Source organism: Homo sapiens, chromosome 8 (assembly GCF_000001405.40).
Source record: "Homo sapiens chromosome 8, GRCh38.p14 Primary Assembly".
NCBI classification, from domain to species: Eukaryota; Metazoa; Chordata; class Mammalia; order Primates; family Hominidae; genus Homo; species Homo sapiens.
Window position 1 is genome coordinate 89,792,764 of NC_000008.11, and position 16,305 is coordinate 89,809,068.

Here is a 16,305-nt window from a genome sequence, read left to right on the forward strand (position 1 = left end):
AGATGTCATTCCTTGCAGTGCATTTTAAGACAGTGCTACCCAGAAGTACAGTGCACAGACTGGCTACATTTAGCATCACCTATAGCATGTTAGAAATGAAACTTCATGGCTCCTATCTCAGACCGACTGATTCAGTCTCTGGGGGTGAGGTCTAGGAATCTGTTTTAACAAACTCTCCAAGCGATTTTTACTCACGGTAAAGTTCAAGACCCTTTATTTTAAGAAACACTATAGATTTGTGCATAAAATAATTTCTCTCTAGGTTCACAGATGTGTTTTCATGAACTCTGATTGCCACGTGCCTTCAGAATGTTCACTCTCTGAACTGACGTTTGATTACAAAATTTTACTTTTGTTTTGCATCCAATTTGAATTCTCAAAACAATTTTAATCATGCTTTGAATTTTGGAAAGATAGCTTCACTTAAACATGAAAATCAGATCACTATAGTAGAATCTACAACTCAGTTCTTTAGGGAAGAACTTCAGAAGGGGCAAACACTTGAGTTATGACAGCAGTAGAGCTGAGCCGATATGAGGATCAATACAAGAAGCAAGACTAAATTGTGCTGAAAGTTATACTAAAGAAATTTGCATGACTGTGAAAGATTTGGGTGTTGGCAGCAGTTGTGTCAAGCAGTGGGGGCTGTTTTTTATTTCTCTCTACCATTAATCTGCCTACCCTCAGCCCCTTCAAATACTTAATTTATGAAGAAAAAAACATGGCCAACGGGGAGAGAAGGAAAATCAATAAACGTTCATGTTTAGCCATTCTCACAAACATAAGTTTCAGCCTGGTGCGGCGGCTCACGCCTGTAATCCGAGCACTTTAGGAGGCCGAGGCGGGTGGATCACCTGAGGTCAGGAGTTTGAGACCAGCCTAGCCAACATGGCGAAACCCCTTCTCTACTAAAAATACAGAAATTAGCTGGGCATGGTGGCAGGCGCCTGTAATCTCAGCTACTTGGGAGGCTGAGGCAGGACAATCACTTGAACCTGGGAGGCAGAGGTTGCAGTGAGCCGTGATCGCACCACTGCATTCTAGCCTGCGAGACAAGAGCGAAATTCCATCTCAACAACAACAACAAAAGAAAGTTAGTAATGTGTTTCTTCAAAATTATACCTCCTATCTCCCACACAGCCTAGTTCCCAAACTACCTGTTGCTTTTTCTCTCTCTCCACTGGATCATTTCTTTTCAAACACCTTTAAAAACAAAATTTCTTTACTTAACCTATCTATCCTTTTTCATCCTTTTCAAGGAGTTTATTCTACACGACCTCTATTTTGTTACCTATTTCTTTGTTTAAAATTTGATGTCATGTAATTAATGAATGGGTTGAAAGGAACAAGTGTGCATCTGATGCTTCAAAATCCTCTACTGGAAAGATGTTAATAGACGTTTATCTCATGAGTAAACACTTCCACAGATAAAGGGGGAGCTTATTACCTTGTCAGGCAATTTATTTCATCTCCAGACAGTACTATCCATACTTTCATACACTGATTTAAAAATTGATTTCCGGCCACGCGCGGTGGCTCAAGCCTGTAATCCCAGCACTTTGGGAGGCTGAGGCAGGCAGATCATGAGGTCAGGAGATCGAGACCATCCTGGCCAACATGGTGAAACCCCGTCTCTACTAAAAATACAAAAATTAGCCGGGTATGGTGGCGTGCGTCTGTAGTCCCAGCTACTCAGGAGGCTGAGGCAGGAGAATCGCTTGAACCCGGGAGGCAGAGGTTGCAGTGAGCCGAGATCACACCACTGCAATCCAGCCTGGGCGACAGAGCAAGACTCTGTCTAAAAAAAAAAATAAAACAATAAAAAATAAAAATAAAAATTGATTTCCTTGTAGTATATATCAACTCATCCTGATTACAAACCTTGGAATATTTTATGGGGTAAATCTAATCCCTCTTCTATGACAGCATCTTATATATTTCCAAGGAGCTCTTTTATTTCTGGTGATTTTTTTTTTCTCTGCCTCAGAATAATTCCTACTTACTTCAGTGGTTATTTAAGTGGCATGGTCTATATTCCTCTCAAAGTATGGTAGCCACAACTAAACATGGTGCTCCTACTCAGGTCTTGCCATCACAGTTGGGATATCTGCTCCCTTATCCTTAAATAAAATGCTAAAGCACCGTTTTATAGTAGTCACATGTCATTGTCAAATTAATATTTAACTACCAGCTAACAAATTCTTCATCTGTACACCTGTGTTGTTTTGCCTTATTTCTCCACTTTTCAAATAGGTAAATTGGATTGTTAGGCCCATATATAACAATTTGCCTTTATCTCTCTTTTTTTTTTTTTTTTTTTTTTTGAGACGGAGTCTCGCTGTCGCCAGGCTGGAGTGCAGTGGCACGATCTCGGCTCACTGCAACTTCGGCCTCCTGGGTTCAAGCGATTCTCCTGCCTCAGCCTCCCGAGTAGCTGGGATTACAGACACGTGCCAACACACCCAGCTAATTTTTGTATTTTTAGTAGAGATGGGGTTTCACCATGTTGGCCAGGATGGTCTCAATCTCTTGACCTCATGATCCTCCCTCCTCGGCCTCCCAAAGTGCAAAGTGCTGGGATTAGAGGCATAAGCCACTGCACTGGCCTATCTCTATTTTTTTTTTAATTCATCCCTAGTTCCAGTTATTCAATACATTTTTTATCCCTAAATCTGGAATCTTCCAGCTTGTCATCCACAAATTTGACAAACCTACTTTTTATAGTTTCATCCAAGTTACTAATTAAAATGTCGATTGTGCTGAGCCATTCAAGCATGAAGTTTGCAAATTACCACAAGCCTTCTTTCCTTCAATTTGACAAAGCTCATCACTATTTAACTACAATCATTCATCTAATCACTAATGAATATAATTGGAATATTTTAAAGAGTTTCCTTTTTTAACATAAAAAATATGGAATCTACAAATTTAGCCTACATGGTCTCTATATCTGGGCAGTTTTTTAAAGAATTGGCTTGTGTTTTCATCGAAAATGTGTGTTTCAATATAAATCCACTTTTTTTGCTACAAGTACATTCAGTTATTAAAATGGGGCATGCCTCTTCTCTTAAAATATTAAATGGATATTGCTCAGGCTCTGCTTATAAAATCTGGTGCAAGACACTCTCTGTCCACCAAAATCCCATGATTTAAGGATGCCAACCAAATAAAGAAACTCCAAATTCCACATCTGAAAAAAAAATACTAAGAAAATTAAAGAATAGACAGAAGATAATTTTAAAATACTTACATAATACCCTTAGAGAGACTTGTTATCTTCAAAACTAGGAGAAATTGTTAAAAAATAGAAGCAACTAATGATCTAGAAACATTTAAACTATGATTCTCATAATAATAACCCAGAACCCATCCATTCTTGAAAACTGTCCTTTTTCTCACTAGGACTCCTAACTTGGGAGTTTGTTAGGGTAGATAACCAGTCCAAGCCTCTAGCTTCCATATCTTTGGTTGATTCCTTTTTGGATGTATTTAGCAACCCTGAGCAAACAGGGAAGCTACCAACAAAATAACTGCAAGTACTTTTCATTGCTAGTTTGAAGTCTCCTGCCCTCACTAAACACATGTTGCTGAGCTTTTGCCTTCTCACTGTGACTGATGCACTCCTCATCATACTAAGAGATGCTTAGGACTGGCAGGATGCCCATCACCTTTGTTTCCACCAGTGCCCCTTAGTGGAATGGTACAAAGTCTAAAGGGGCAAGAAAAAAATTTTTTGAAAAATTAACTCTTTAGTGTTTTGGGCACAGCCTGATCACAAACACATGAGATATATTTTGCATAGGCCTCCCGACAAAGTTAAAAGGACTCAAAATTCCGAATTAATTTCGACTCCAGAAGAGAGTTAATAGTTTTAGAATTTTAAGCTCATTAATCTAACTGAATTCATTCTAAGGAATATGGAAGCTAGTACTGGGAGCCTGGTCCCAAGACAATGTTTTAATTTTAATTGTTTTTAAATTAGAAGAAAAAAATGAATATATAACAATGAACAGTTTAGATTACATATATCTTTATAATAATGCAATTGTAAAAAATAATTTTAATATCTTTTATAGAGGACAGAGCCACAAAAGCATAAGTGCCTATGTCAGAGGTGTTTGAACCAGAGCAACTCCATTTTGAATAGGGGCTGAGTAAAATAAGGCTGAAAACTACTGGGCTACATTCCCAGGAGGTTAGGCATTCTTAGTCAGGATGAGACAGAAGGTTGGCACAAGATACAGGTCATAAAAACCCTACTGATAAAACAGGATGTGGTAAAGAAGTCAGCCAAAACCAAGATGGTGACAAAAGTGACCTCTGTTCATCTTCACTGCTCATTATATGCTAATTATAATATAATTATAATGCATTAGATTGCTAAGAGATACTCCCACCAGGGCCATGACAGTTTACAAATGCCATGGCAACCTAGGGAAGTTAGCTTATATGGTCTAAAAGGGAGAGGAATCCTCAGTTCTGGGAATTGCCCACCCCTTTCCTGGAAAACTCATGAATAATCCACTTCTTATTTAGCATATAACCAAGAAATAACTATAAGTATACTCAGTTGAGCAGCCCATGCCACTGCTCTGTCTATACAGTAGCCATTTTTTTATTCCTTTACCTTCTTAATAAACTTGCTTTCACTTTATGGACTCACCCTGAATTTTTTTCTTGCACAAAGTTCAAGAACCTCTCTTGGGGTCTGGATAAGGACACCTTTCCAGTAACACCTAGGGCCCACGAATGTCCTATTGCAGCTCTGATTGTGAAATGACTTACCTGACGGTAGTCTGAAAAGTTTGCTTGAGACTGTAGCCACAGCAAAAGTTGACCTTACAAACTGGGTCATTCTTGTCACACCCAACTAAAACAGCGCAATCAGACCACGTACCATTGCTCCAAGAATGTAATTCTCTGCAAGCTTGGCTGCTGAGACTGCCTGCTATAACCTGAAACCAGTTTTATCTAAAGGCTACTGAAACAATCTACTGCACCTCTAAGACTAGTTTTACCCACCACCATCACTCACCAAAAAGCTTGCTAGCTCCCCAAAACCTTACTTGAGCCAATGAACTTTCTAGAGTAGTGGTATGTAATGTTTCTCCTTTTTATAAAAGCTCTAACCTTCTCTTTGTTCTTTAGATATACCAAAGACAACCCGGTCTGTGTGTATGCCCCTAGTTGCAATTCTTTCTTGCCAAATAAAATATTTTAATTTCAGAGATTCATCTTTATATTTTATTTGACTTTGACAGCACTAATCAGACACAGTACTCCAGAGGTGCTAGGATAGGGGGCAAAGGGCAAGGAAACTGAATAGTGGCAGATTGGGCTTGTCCATGTCAGGAAGGACCAGTGGCCCACAACACTAGCATGTAGAGGAAAAAGCAAGTAGAAACACAATGAATACTGCAGGTTAAAGGCGTGGCCCTCAGAGCTTGAGCATTCTCACCTTTCCACTTGCCAAGACCCTGAAAAAAGGCGGAGATTCAGACTTCCCACCAACCCTTTCAGGTTAGAGCCTGGGCCACATTCAATTTAACTTAGAAACATAAATAAATCTGTCTTGTTCCTCAGTGTTATAGGCAAAATCATGCCTGATATATTGACTGGTATGGTCTTGTTTATTACTATTATTGCTTTAGGTTGTGTATTGACTGGTTGCCCCCAAAATGATCTGCTGAAGTCCTAATCCCCAGAACCTGTGAGTGTGACCTATTTGGAAAGTGGGTTTTTACAAATGTCATTAAATTAAAGATCTCAAGATGAGACCATCCTGGATTAACTGGGTGTGCCGTAAATCCAGTGACAAGTGTCCTTATAAGAAGAGGGCTGGGCATGGTGGCTCACGCCTGTAATCCCAGCACTTTGGGAGGCCAATGCAGGCAGGTCACTTGAGGCCAGGAGTTTGAGACCAGCCTGGCCAACACGGAGAAATCCCATCTCTACTAAAAATACAAAAATTAGCCAGGCGTGGCAGCGGGCACCTGTAGTCTCAGCTACCCAGGAGGCTGAGGCAGAAGAATTTCTTGAACCCAAGAGGCAGAGGCTGCAGTGAGTTGAGATCACACCACTGCACTCCAGTCTGGGCAACAGAGTGAGACACTGTCTCAAAAAAAAGGAAAAGAAAAAAAGGAGAGAAGACACAGACAAAAGAAAAGGCCATGGAAGGCAGAGGCAGAGATAGGAATGGCACAGCCACATGCCAAAGAATGCCTGGAATCACCAAAAGCTGGAAAAGGAAAAGGCAAAGGACTTTTACCCCTCTAGCCTTCAGAGGGCGTGTGGCCCTGCCAACACCTTGATTTTGGACTACAGACCTCCTGAACTGTGAGAGAATAAATTTCTATTATTTTAGGCCACCAAGTTTACGGTAATATGTTAATGATAGTCCTAGGACACTAAGATACTTCATTTTTAAAAATATACTTAATTTTTTAGAATAGTTCATGATTTCTTGAAAGATTGAAAAGCTAGTGTAGAAAGTTCCCATATACTCTGCACCCAGTTCCCCCTACTATTGACATCTTCCATGAGTATAGTGTATTTGTTAAAATTAATGAACTACTATTGATAATATAAAATAAAAAATCTCAGAACCCTCTAAATTTATCATGCCAAGGGGGAAATTAAGCTCTGGAGACTGAGTCATGAAGCATGTTTGCAATTAGATTATAGATTAACTCTCTTGCTCATTGTTCTTGTTCTGTAAATGACTAGAAGAGACTAGAGACCAGACCTTTCTCCACTTGCAATTACTGATCTTTGTTATAGATTAACTGCCTCCTTTATTGTTCAATACCTAACTCAGACCAGATGGTGCAAAAGACCCCATAACTATTAGATTCTCAGTGTGAAATGTTAAATATACCTCTGAAAATAGGTAATTGGAAATCCAAGCTGTTGGAACTCTAAATTACTTTGAACCTTAAAGAAATGTGAGGTTATGGGGACTGAGTCATGTGACAGGCAGCTGTAACCTTTCTTGCTCTGATTATAGATTAGCCTTCCTCACCTACATTGTTTTCTAAAATGTTATATATTACTAAAGGGCACCAGGGAAGACCCCTTCCCTCTTCCCTGTTGATCTTTATTATAGATTAACTTCCTCTTATCTTTCTCACAAAAAGGCTTTATGGTTATCACATTGTCTTCAGATGGAATATTAAAAATACTCTTTTAAATTGGAAAGGACATGAAAACAAGCTGTATGGAAAACAAAATGAACTATAACTAATTAAATGTTTATAACTCAAAAACAAGCTTTGTATAGAAAATGTTATATATAATCCTACTCTATTTTCTGTCTATATAAGAACCTTTAACTTCAGAGCCCTGACCCCATTTCTCTGGAGTCTGTGTCTTTTAAATAGCCATTCCCAGCTTTTCACTTTAATAAACTCTTTATAACTTGATTCTGATCCGTTTGACTGTTTCAGCTTGACGTGCCTTTCCTGAAAGAAAAATACCACCTCAACAAATCAGATCATTGTAACTATACATTAAGCCTAACATAGGAAGGTGTTGATATTCTGCTAAACTTCCCTAAACTTTGTGAATATGAGTGAAAACTTCTATACTTTGGAACACTGACTTCCATTCTTTAGAATCTGTGCTTCCCAAGAAGCCCGGCTTCAAACTTTGCACTTGAATCAACTCTGTTTAAACTAGATTCTGAGTCAGGCATGGTGGCTCACGCCTGTAGTCCCAACACTTTGGGAGGCTGTGGTAGGCTAATCACTTGAGACCAGGAGTTTGAGACCAGCCTGGCCAACATGGTAAACCCCATCTCTACTAAAAATACAAAAAAAAAAAAAAAAGTTAATCAGGCAATCCCAGCTACTTGGGTGGCTGAGGCAAGAGAATTGTTTGAACTCAGGAGGCAGAGATTGTAGTGAGCTGAGATCACACCATTGCACTCCAGCCTGGGCAACAGAGCGAGACTCGCCTAATGTCTTTTTTCTGCTCCAAGATCCCATCCAGGATGCTGATGAGGTGTGGAAAATGATTCCCCAGCCTGTGGGGCTTGGGCATGCTGAGTGCTTTTGAAAATTGAAAGGCCCCAGAAACAAGGTCCTGTCTAACCTTGTGTTGTTTCCCCAGCCCACTTCACCTCCCAGGACAGGAAGGGACTCTCTCTGGAGTTTCCTCATCTGTTCAAAAAAGTCTCTTACAAAAAAAAAAAAATTGCCTTCTATCTGCTTCCTAAAATGGCATTATCTATTGCAGAAAAAAGACAAGAATGCAACCACACCTGGACAGACTTGTTTTTAAGAAGATAATTCCTGCCACTGGAGCTCAGAGAAAATTCCAGAGAAAATCCTTTACAAGTTAATTACTGTTCCCTGGTCCGTCCATTCTCCCTAATAGTCATTTACTGCCCCTCAAAGAATTGTCTATATCCCCCAGCGCTTCCCTCCCCTATGAAAAAGGGTATATAAGCTGTACCCATTGGAAGATTGGGGGAATCCCTTTGTGATTCCACCACATTAATACATTTGTATGCCTTTTCTGCCTTTCATCAATTGATTTCAGCAAACCTTCAGAGGGCAAAGGGGAAGTTTTCCCCTGGCCTCTATAATACCACATTACATTTGGTTGCCCTGTCTCCTCAAACCTTTGCACTTTTTGACCCATCAATGAAAACACCTTTGCAAATATTATGACAGTGAGAGAACGCTAGCATGACTCATGCCCTCTTGCTTCTAGTCTCACAGGCTGGCTGTCTTCACTCATTCCTGGGCATAGACCAAGCTAATCATGGGAAAATCTTAGTATATAGTTTAATTTTGAAACAAGGATCATAATAGTCCTTCCCTAAAACTGATCCCTGCCTTGCTCAGAGACCAAAGCTGCCTTTGTAAAACTAATGAACGTTTATGACATAGGATTGTGGGAGGGATCTGAATTCTGCTAAAATGTAGGCATAGTTTCTATGTTCCCTTACTGCTCAGGAGTGGAGTCATGTGGCCAGAGGTCACAAGATTTGTGACTTCCCCACTTGCTCCTAAAGATAGTGTCACTGCTGTAGAACCTGAGGTTGGTCTTTTGAGATGTTTTTCAGATTTTTGCATTCTGGCAACTGACTGATCCCACCCAAACCCATGACTCATGACTCAACCGGTTCTACTGCTCTCACTCAGAGGCAGATACAGCACACAAGCACCATTTTCCACACCCCTATGATTTCATTCTCACCCAATCAGCAGCACCCATTCCCTATCCCCCTGCCCACCAAATTATCCATAAAAACCCTAGCCTCTGAGTTCTTCGTGAGACTGATATGAGTAATAACTCCAGCCCTTCCATTTGGCTAGCTCCACGTTAATTAAACTCTTTCTCTACTGCAATACTGCAGTCTCAGTGAAATGGTTTTGTCTGTGCAACTGGCAGGAAGAACCCATCAGGGGATTACACGAATTCAATATCCAAGAATTTATTCTAAGGAAATAATCATAGGTGTGTGTAAAGATTAAGCCATGATGATGGTCACTGAGGCATTGCTTAAAAACTATTGAGAAACCAAAAGAGATTTTGCTTTTGGGGGTTATATCAATCCTTATTTGCCACTAGAAATTAAAACTGAGAAGTCAAGAATATATTAATTCATTTAAAACATCCAAAGTGAAAAACAGTTGATGAGAAGAACCATGTTATTTTACATTTTTGCATATCTCTTTGAATGTTTAAAAAAGTAAGTAAATAGAAGAGAACTGGGTTTTCATATCTGCATTCAATCTGTTGCAAAATCACATGTCATGTAGCCTCTGGAAAACTCCACTGTTCACCTGTGAGAGTATGGGAGTAATAAATGCAATAACATCTCAGAATTATTATGGAAATAGGTTTGACCTAGCAGATTCCCTGAAAGGTCACAGCGTCTCTGGGTGATACTTTGAGAAATGCTGGCTTAATACAACAAAAAGTTTAAAACAACATAAAAATTTCAAATAATCTAAGATATTATAAATGACCCTCAATACTATTAAATAAAGAATAAACACAATTCTTATTAACTAAATCATATTTGTATTTTTGTCTTTTTATTCTCATATTATGCTGGCAGAATTACCCCTTCTCCTACTAAGAATAATCCTTTGTTTCTGCATTTCTCCTCTAGCTTGTTAGATGACTCTCCCTCTCACTTCACTCCAACCATTCCCTTAGAAAGTTTCCTTCTAGAAACACTTAAGCCTGCCGAGAGTTTCTCATAAAATAAATAAATAAATAAAATAAAGTCAGCCCTTTCTGTCTACTTCTGTCTTTCTCTTTCCTCTTTTCATAACAGAGAGGATTTTTTCTCCTTTTTACCTCACTGCTTTCTAAATTCACAGTCTAGTGATTAGGTTTCCAGATTTTGTTTTTCTGTAAACTAATTACACATTCTGTTTTGGAATTTGCTTCTTACATATTTATATGTCATTACATGTAAATTATATTATTTTTTAAACTATTATGTGGTGCTTCATTATATTGATGTACCAATATTTAATCTATTTCCTCTTGATGAACGTTTTAATTTTCCTGACTTTCTGCTATTAGAAAAAATATGAATAGGTATGGTGTATATGTTATTCATTTATATGTAAATGAATTTATATAAAATATAAATTTAAATTAATTTATATAATTTTTTTAAAAATTTTACTTTAAGTTCTGGGATACACGTGCAGAATGTGCAGGTTTGTTACATAGGTATACATGTGCCATGGTGGTTTTCTGCACCTATCAAACCATCATCTAGATTTTAAGCCCCACAGGCATTAGGTATTTGTTCTAATGCTTTCCCTCCCCTTGCCTTCCACCCCCGGACAGACCCTGGTGTGTGATGTTCCCCTCCCTGTGTCTGACTTCAAACTATACTACAAGGCTACAGTAACCAAAACAGCATGGTACTGGTGCCAAAACAGATATGTAGACCAATGGAACAGAACAGAGCCCTCAGAAATAACACCACACATCTACAACCACCCGATCTTTGACAAACCTGACAAAAACAAGAAATGGGGAAAGTATTCCCTATTTAATAAATGGTGCTGGAAAAACTGGCTAGCCATATGGAGAAAACAGAAACTGGACCCCTTCCTTACACCTTATACAAAGATTAACTCGAGATGGATTAAAGACTTAAATGTAACACCCCAAACCATAAAAACCCTAGAAGAAAACCTAGGCAATACCATCCAGAACATAGTGTAAATTTGACATATATGTGCATACTTATTATTATTATTATTATTTTTGAGACAGGGTTTTGCTCTTGTTGCCCAGGCTGTCATGCAGTGGCACGATCTTGGCTCACTGCAACCTTCTCCTCCCAGGTTCAAGCAATTCTCCTGTTTCAGCCTCCTGAGTAGCTGGGATTACAGGCACGTGCCACGACACCCAGCTAATTTTTTGTATTTTTCATAGAGACGGGGTTTCACTGTGTTGGCCAAGCTGGTCTCAAACTCCTGATCTCAGGTGATCCACCCACCTCGGCCTTCCAAAGTACTGGGATTACAGGCATGAGCCACCATGCCCAGCCCATACTTTTTAAGTATTATGGCACAGGTCTAGAAATTGAACTACTGGGATCAAAGATTATGAACATTTTAAATGTTAGTGAATATTGGCAAATTCTCCCCTAAGAGTTGGTATCAATTTACATTCCCACCAATAACTTAATTATGGCCAGACTTCTTGAGAGAGCTGTCTATAGCAATTCTCACTTTTACACTTCCTCAGTCACTTGATTCACTCCTCAGTCCATTTAATCTGGCTTCTGTCTGAACCACTCCATTGAAATTGCTCTTCCCAAAAGTGATTAACACACCCTTCTGGTTTCTAAATCCAGGGGAAGCTTTTCAGTCCTCTTCCTATGTGATGTGGCTGAGTGCCCTCTCCTTTTCTAATGGTTCTCTTCCCTTTTGTGACACCAGACATTCCTGCTTTTCCTCCTATGTCTTGGTCTTCTGGTTAGGGGCTTTAGGTGTTTATTCTTCTTACTCAGGTTCAGTCTGGGCCTCACATTCTTACTCCAAACCCTTTCCCGGATCCACCTCATTCCCCTGCGTGGTCTTATTGTCATCTAGACATCAGTACTCCTAAAGTCAGCCCTTACCTGAGATTCACTTCATACCAGACCTGCCAACTGGCATGCTCCACAGCAATCTCCACATTCCAAAGCTGACCTTTTCATTCCTCACTGCAACATACATCCCAAACTTGATTTCCTTCTTATGTTTCCTTTCTCAGCAAATAATAACACCATCTGTCCAGACGAACTTCAATCTTTTGTCCCTCACTTCCTTCTCTCTCTATGCTCAAATCCCCCACTATCCATATCCAGTTAATCACAAGTCCTATTGATTCTACCTCCAAAATATTTTTGTTTTCAGTGTAGCAATGTCAGGGGCATGTGAACCAGAGCAACCGTATCTTGAATAGGAGCTGGGTAAAATGAGGCTGAGACCTACTGGGCCGCATTCCCAGATGGTTAAGGCATTCTAAGTCACAAGATGAGATAGGAGGTTGGCACAAAATACGGGTCATAAAGACCGTGCTGATAAAACAATTTGCAGTAAAGAAGCCGGCTAAAAACCACAAACCAAGGCGATGATGAGAGTGACCTCTGGTTGCCCTCACAGCCACACTCCCACCAGCGCCATGACAGTTTACAGATGCCATAGCAACGTCAGGAAGTTGCCCTATATGGTCTAAAAGGGGAGGCATAAATAATCCACCCCTTGTTTAGCATATAATCAAAAATGGACAACCAGCAGCCCTCAGGGTGGCTCTGTCTAGGAGTATCCATTCTCTTATTTCTTTACTTTCTTAATAAACTTGCTTTCACTTTACTCTATGGATTCTCCCTGAATTCTTTTTTGCATGAAATACAAGAACCCTCTCTTGGGGTCTGGATCCAGACACCTTTCCTGTAACAACTTTTTCCATCCCCACTGCACTACCTTACTTCTGATCAACAGCATCGCTTTATCAGATAACTGCATCCACTTAAACATTCATCTAGTATTAATAGCAAATCCATCCAAGTCACCCTCTGGCTTACTATACTTCCGTGACTTCTCATTATACTTAGAAGAAAAGCCTGTAGGAATCTGCTGATCTCTCTAATCTCATGTCACTTCACCCTCCTCTCTGGCTCCTCTGGGGCTCACTGGCATCCTTGCTCTGCCTTTCACAAATGGGATTTCTTGACAGGGATCTTCTCCTGACTTCTTCAAATCCCAGTTCAAACCTCATTTTTTCAGCCATGACCTTCCCTAGGACCATATCTAAAGTAGGTGCCCAGTCACCTTCTCTAACATCACCAAAGTATTCCTTTTTTTTTTTTAACCATATCTCGAAGTGTAAATATTTGGTTTAAACATTTATTGTCTGTTTGCTTTATCTCCTTATAGAAAAAGTTCTATAAGGGTAAGTGGGAACCATGTATGACTTATTCTAAATACTTTTAGGACCTAGCATTTTCTAGTAGTTTGAAAAAATATTTATTGAATTTGAATGAATGAATGACCACTTTTTTTTTCCAATACACTTTCCACTCTAGAACCAAGGATATCTCTCTACAGCACAAGCTGGGTCTGTCCATCCTGCTTTTAAAACCCTTTGATAATTTTCTATTGCCCCCAGGACACAAAGCCCTTCAAATTCTGACTTCTGCTTTCCCCCTTTTTTTTTTTTTTTTTTTTTTTGAGACAGAGTTTCACTCTGTCACCCACGCTGGAGTTCAGTGGCATGATCTCAGCTCACTGCAACCTCCGCCCCCCACAACTCCCCTGACAAATTCAAGCGATTCTCCTGCCCCAGCCTCCTGAATAGCTGGGATTACAGGTGCCCGCTACCATGCCCAGCTAATTTTTGTGTTTTTAGTGGAGACGGGGTTTCACCATGTTGGCTGGGCTGGTGTCGAACTCCTGGTCTCAAGTAATCCACCCACCTTGGCCTCCCAAAGTGTTGGGATTACAGGCGTGAGCCACGGCACCCAGCCTCTGCTTTTCTTTTCTTTCTCTCCTTTCCCTAAATCCTTCTTATCGAATTTGACTCACTCAACCTATCAGCAGTTCCCATAAACTCCAGCTGTCCTCTGGACCTCAGCTTTTTCTGGCTCCTACAACTTTAATAAGACCTTTCTTCCCTTTCCCTTTCCAACTAATCAAGACTTTTTCTGAAAGGTCACCTCTGACGTCTACCATTGCACCCCGCCTTCCTGACCCTGGGGTGTGGGTTTCTTTCCATGGGCCCCCACTAGCTCTCTACCCCCCACTAAGTAATAGCTGTCAAGGGTATCGAAATCCTAAACCTTGAAACCTGTGAATTTTACTTTATATGACAAAAGGGATTTTGCTTTTTGGCAAAATCTTGAAATAGGGAGATGATCCTGGCTTTTTCAAGTGCATCCTAAATGTAATGACAAGTGTTCTTAAAGAGTGAGGGAGAGGGACATTTTATTACAGTTGAAAGAAAGCATACAATCAAGGAAACAAAGAAAAATTTAAAGATGCTATGCTGCTGTCTTTAAGATGGAGAAAGGGTCCAGAAGCCAAAAATAATGCCAGGAATGCAGCTCTAGACCCTGAAAAGTCAAGGAAACTGATTATCACCTCAGAACCTCCAAAAGGAACAACCAGCCCTGCCGACCTTGACTTTCGCCCAGTGAAACTGATTTTGGACTTTTGGTCTCCAGAACTGGAAGAGAAGAAATTTGTATTGTTTTAAGACACTAAGTGTGTGGTAATTTGTTGTAGCAGCAACAGAAAACTAAAACACCCACTCCCTATCATAGTTTTAACCCCCTATCTTGCAACTGCCTGCTATTTGTCCCTATCCCCCACGAGCTTGTAAGCTCTTTTTAGAGACAGGTTCTCACTATGCCGCCCAGACTGGAATGAAGTGGTGCAATCATAGCTTATTGCAGCCTCAACCTCCTGGACTCCAGTGATGTCTTTTCACTCCCAAACCCGGCCTCAGCCACCTAAAGTGCTAAGATTAAAATGTAAGCCACCATACCCAAACTTTCTATAAGCCTAGCAGAATACCTATCACAAATGTGCTCAATTGATATGTCTTGAATATTGTTAAATACATTATGGCATACCTACTGATATGGTTTGACTGTCCCCACCGAAATCTCATCTTGAATTGTAGTTCCCATAATCCCCATGTGTCATGGGAGGGAACCACTGGGAAATAATCGAATCGTGGGGCAGTTACTCCCGTGCTATTCTTGTGATAGTGAGTAAGCTCTCACCTGATCTGATGGTTTTATAAGGGGCTTCCACGGCACTCGGCACCGATTCTCTCTCCTGCCACCCTGTGAAGAGGTGTCTTATGATGCCATGATTGTAAGTTTCCTGAGGCCTCCCCAGCCATTCTTAATTGTCAATTAAACCTTTTTCTTTTGTAAATGACCCAGTCTCTGGTATGTCTTTATTAGCAGCATGAAAACAGACTAATACGGTAAATTTGTACCAGGAGCAGGGCACTGCTATAAAGATACCTGCAAATGTGGAAACAACTTCGGAACTGGGTAACAGGCGAGGCTGAAACAGTTTTGAGGGCTCAGAAGAAGACAGGAGAATGTGAGAAACTTTAGAACTTCCCAGAGACTTGGAGGGCTCAGAAGACAAGATTTGGGAAAGTTTGGAACTTCCTAGAGATTTGTTGAACAGCTTTGACCAAAATGCTGATAGTGATATGGACAATAAAGTCCAGGCTGAGGTGGTCTCAGATGGAGATGAGGAACTTTTTAGGAACTGGAGCAAAGGTGACTCTTTTTATGCTTTAGCAAAAAGACTGACAGCATTTTGCCAGTGCCCTAGAGATTTGTGGAACTTTAAACTTGAGAGAGATGTTTTAGAGTATATGGTAGAAGAAATTCCTAAGCAGCAAATCATTCAAGAGGTGACAGAGCATAAAAGTTTGGAAAATTTGCAGCCTGACGATGCAGCAGAAAAGAAAACCCATTTTCTGGGGAGAAATTCAAGCTGGCTGCAGAAATTTGCATAAGTAATAAGAAGCCAAATGTTAATCAACAGGACAACATGGAAAATATCTCCAGGGCATGTCAGAGACCTTCATGGCAGCCCCTCCCATCACAGGCCCAGATGCCTAGGCAGGAAAAATGATTTCCTGAGCTGGGTTCAGGGCCCCCGTGCTGTGTGCAGCCTTGGGACTTGATGCTCTGAGTTCCAGCTTCTCTAGCCATGTCTAAGAGGGGCCAAGGCACAGCTCAAGCTGTGGCTTCAGAGGGTGCAAGCCCCAAGTCTTGGCAGCCTTCATGTGGTGTTGGGCCTG

The 16,305-nt window shown here is 40.4% G+C and overlaps 1 annotated feature.

Annotated features, from left to right (window-relative positions):
- Positions 13,985-14,185: a silencer, noted in NCBI's record as "peak7103 fragment used in MPRA reporter construct". NCBI's record gives its function as "represses an SCP1 promoter by STARR-seq MPRAs in K562 erythroleukemia cells {active_cell/tissue: K562}" and the evidence as "EXISTENCE:reporter gene assay evidence [ECO:0000049][PMID:32103011]".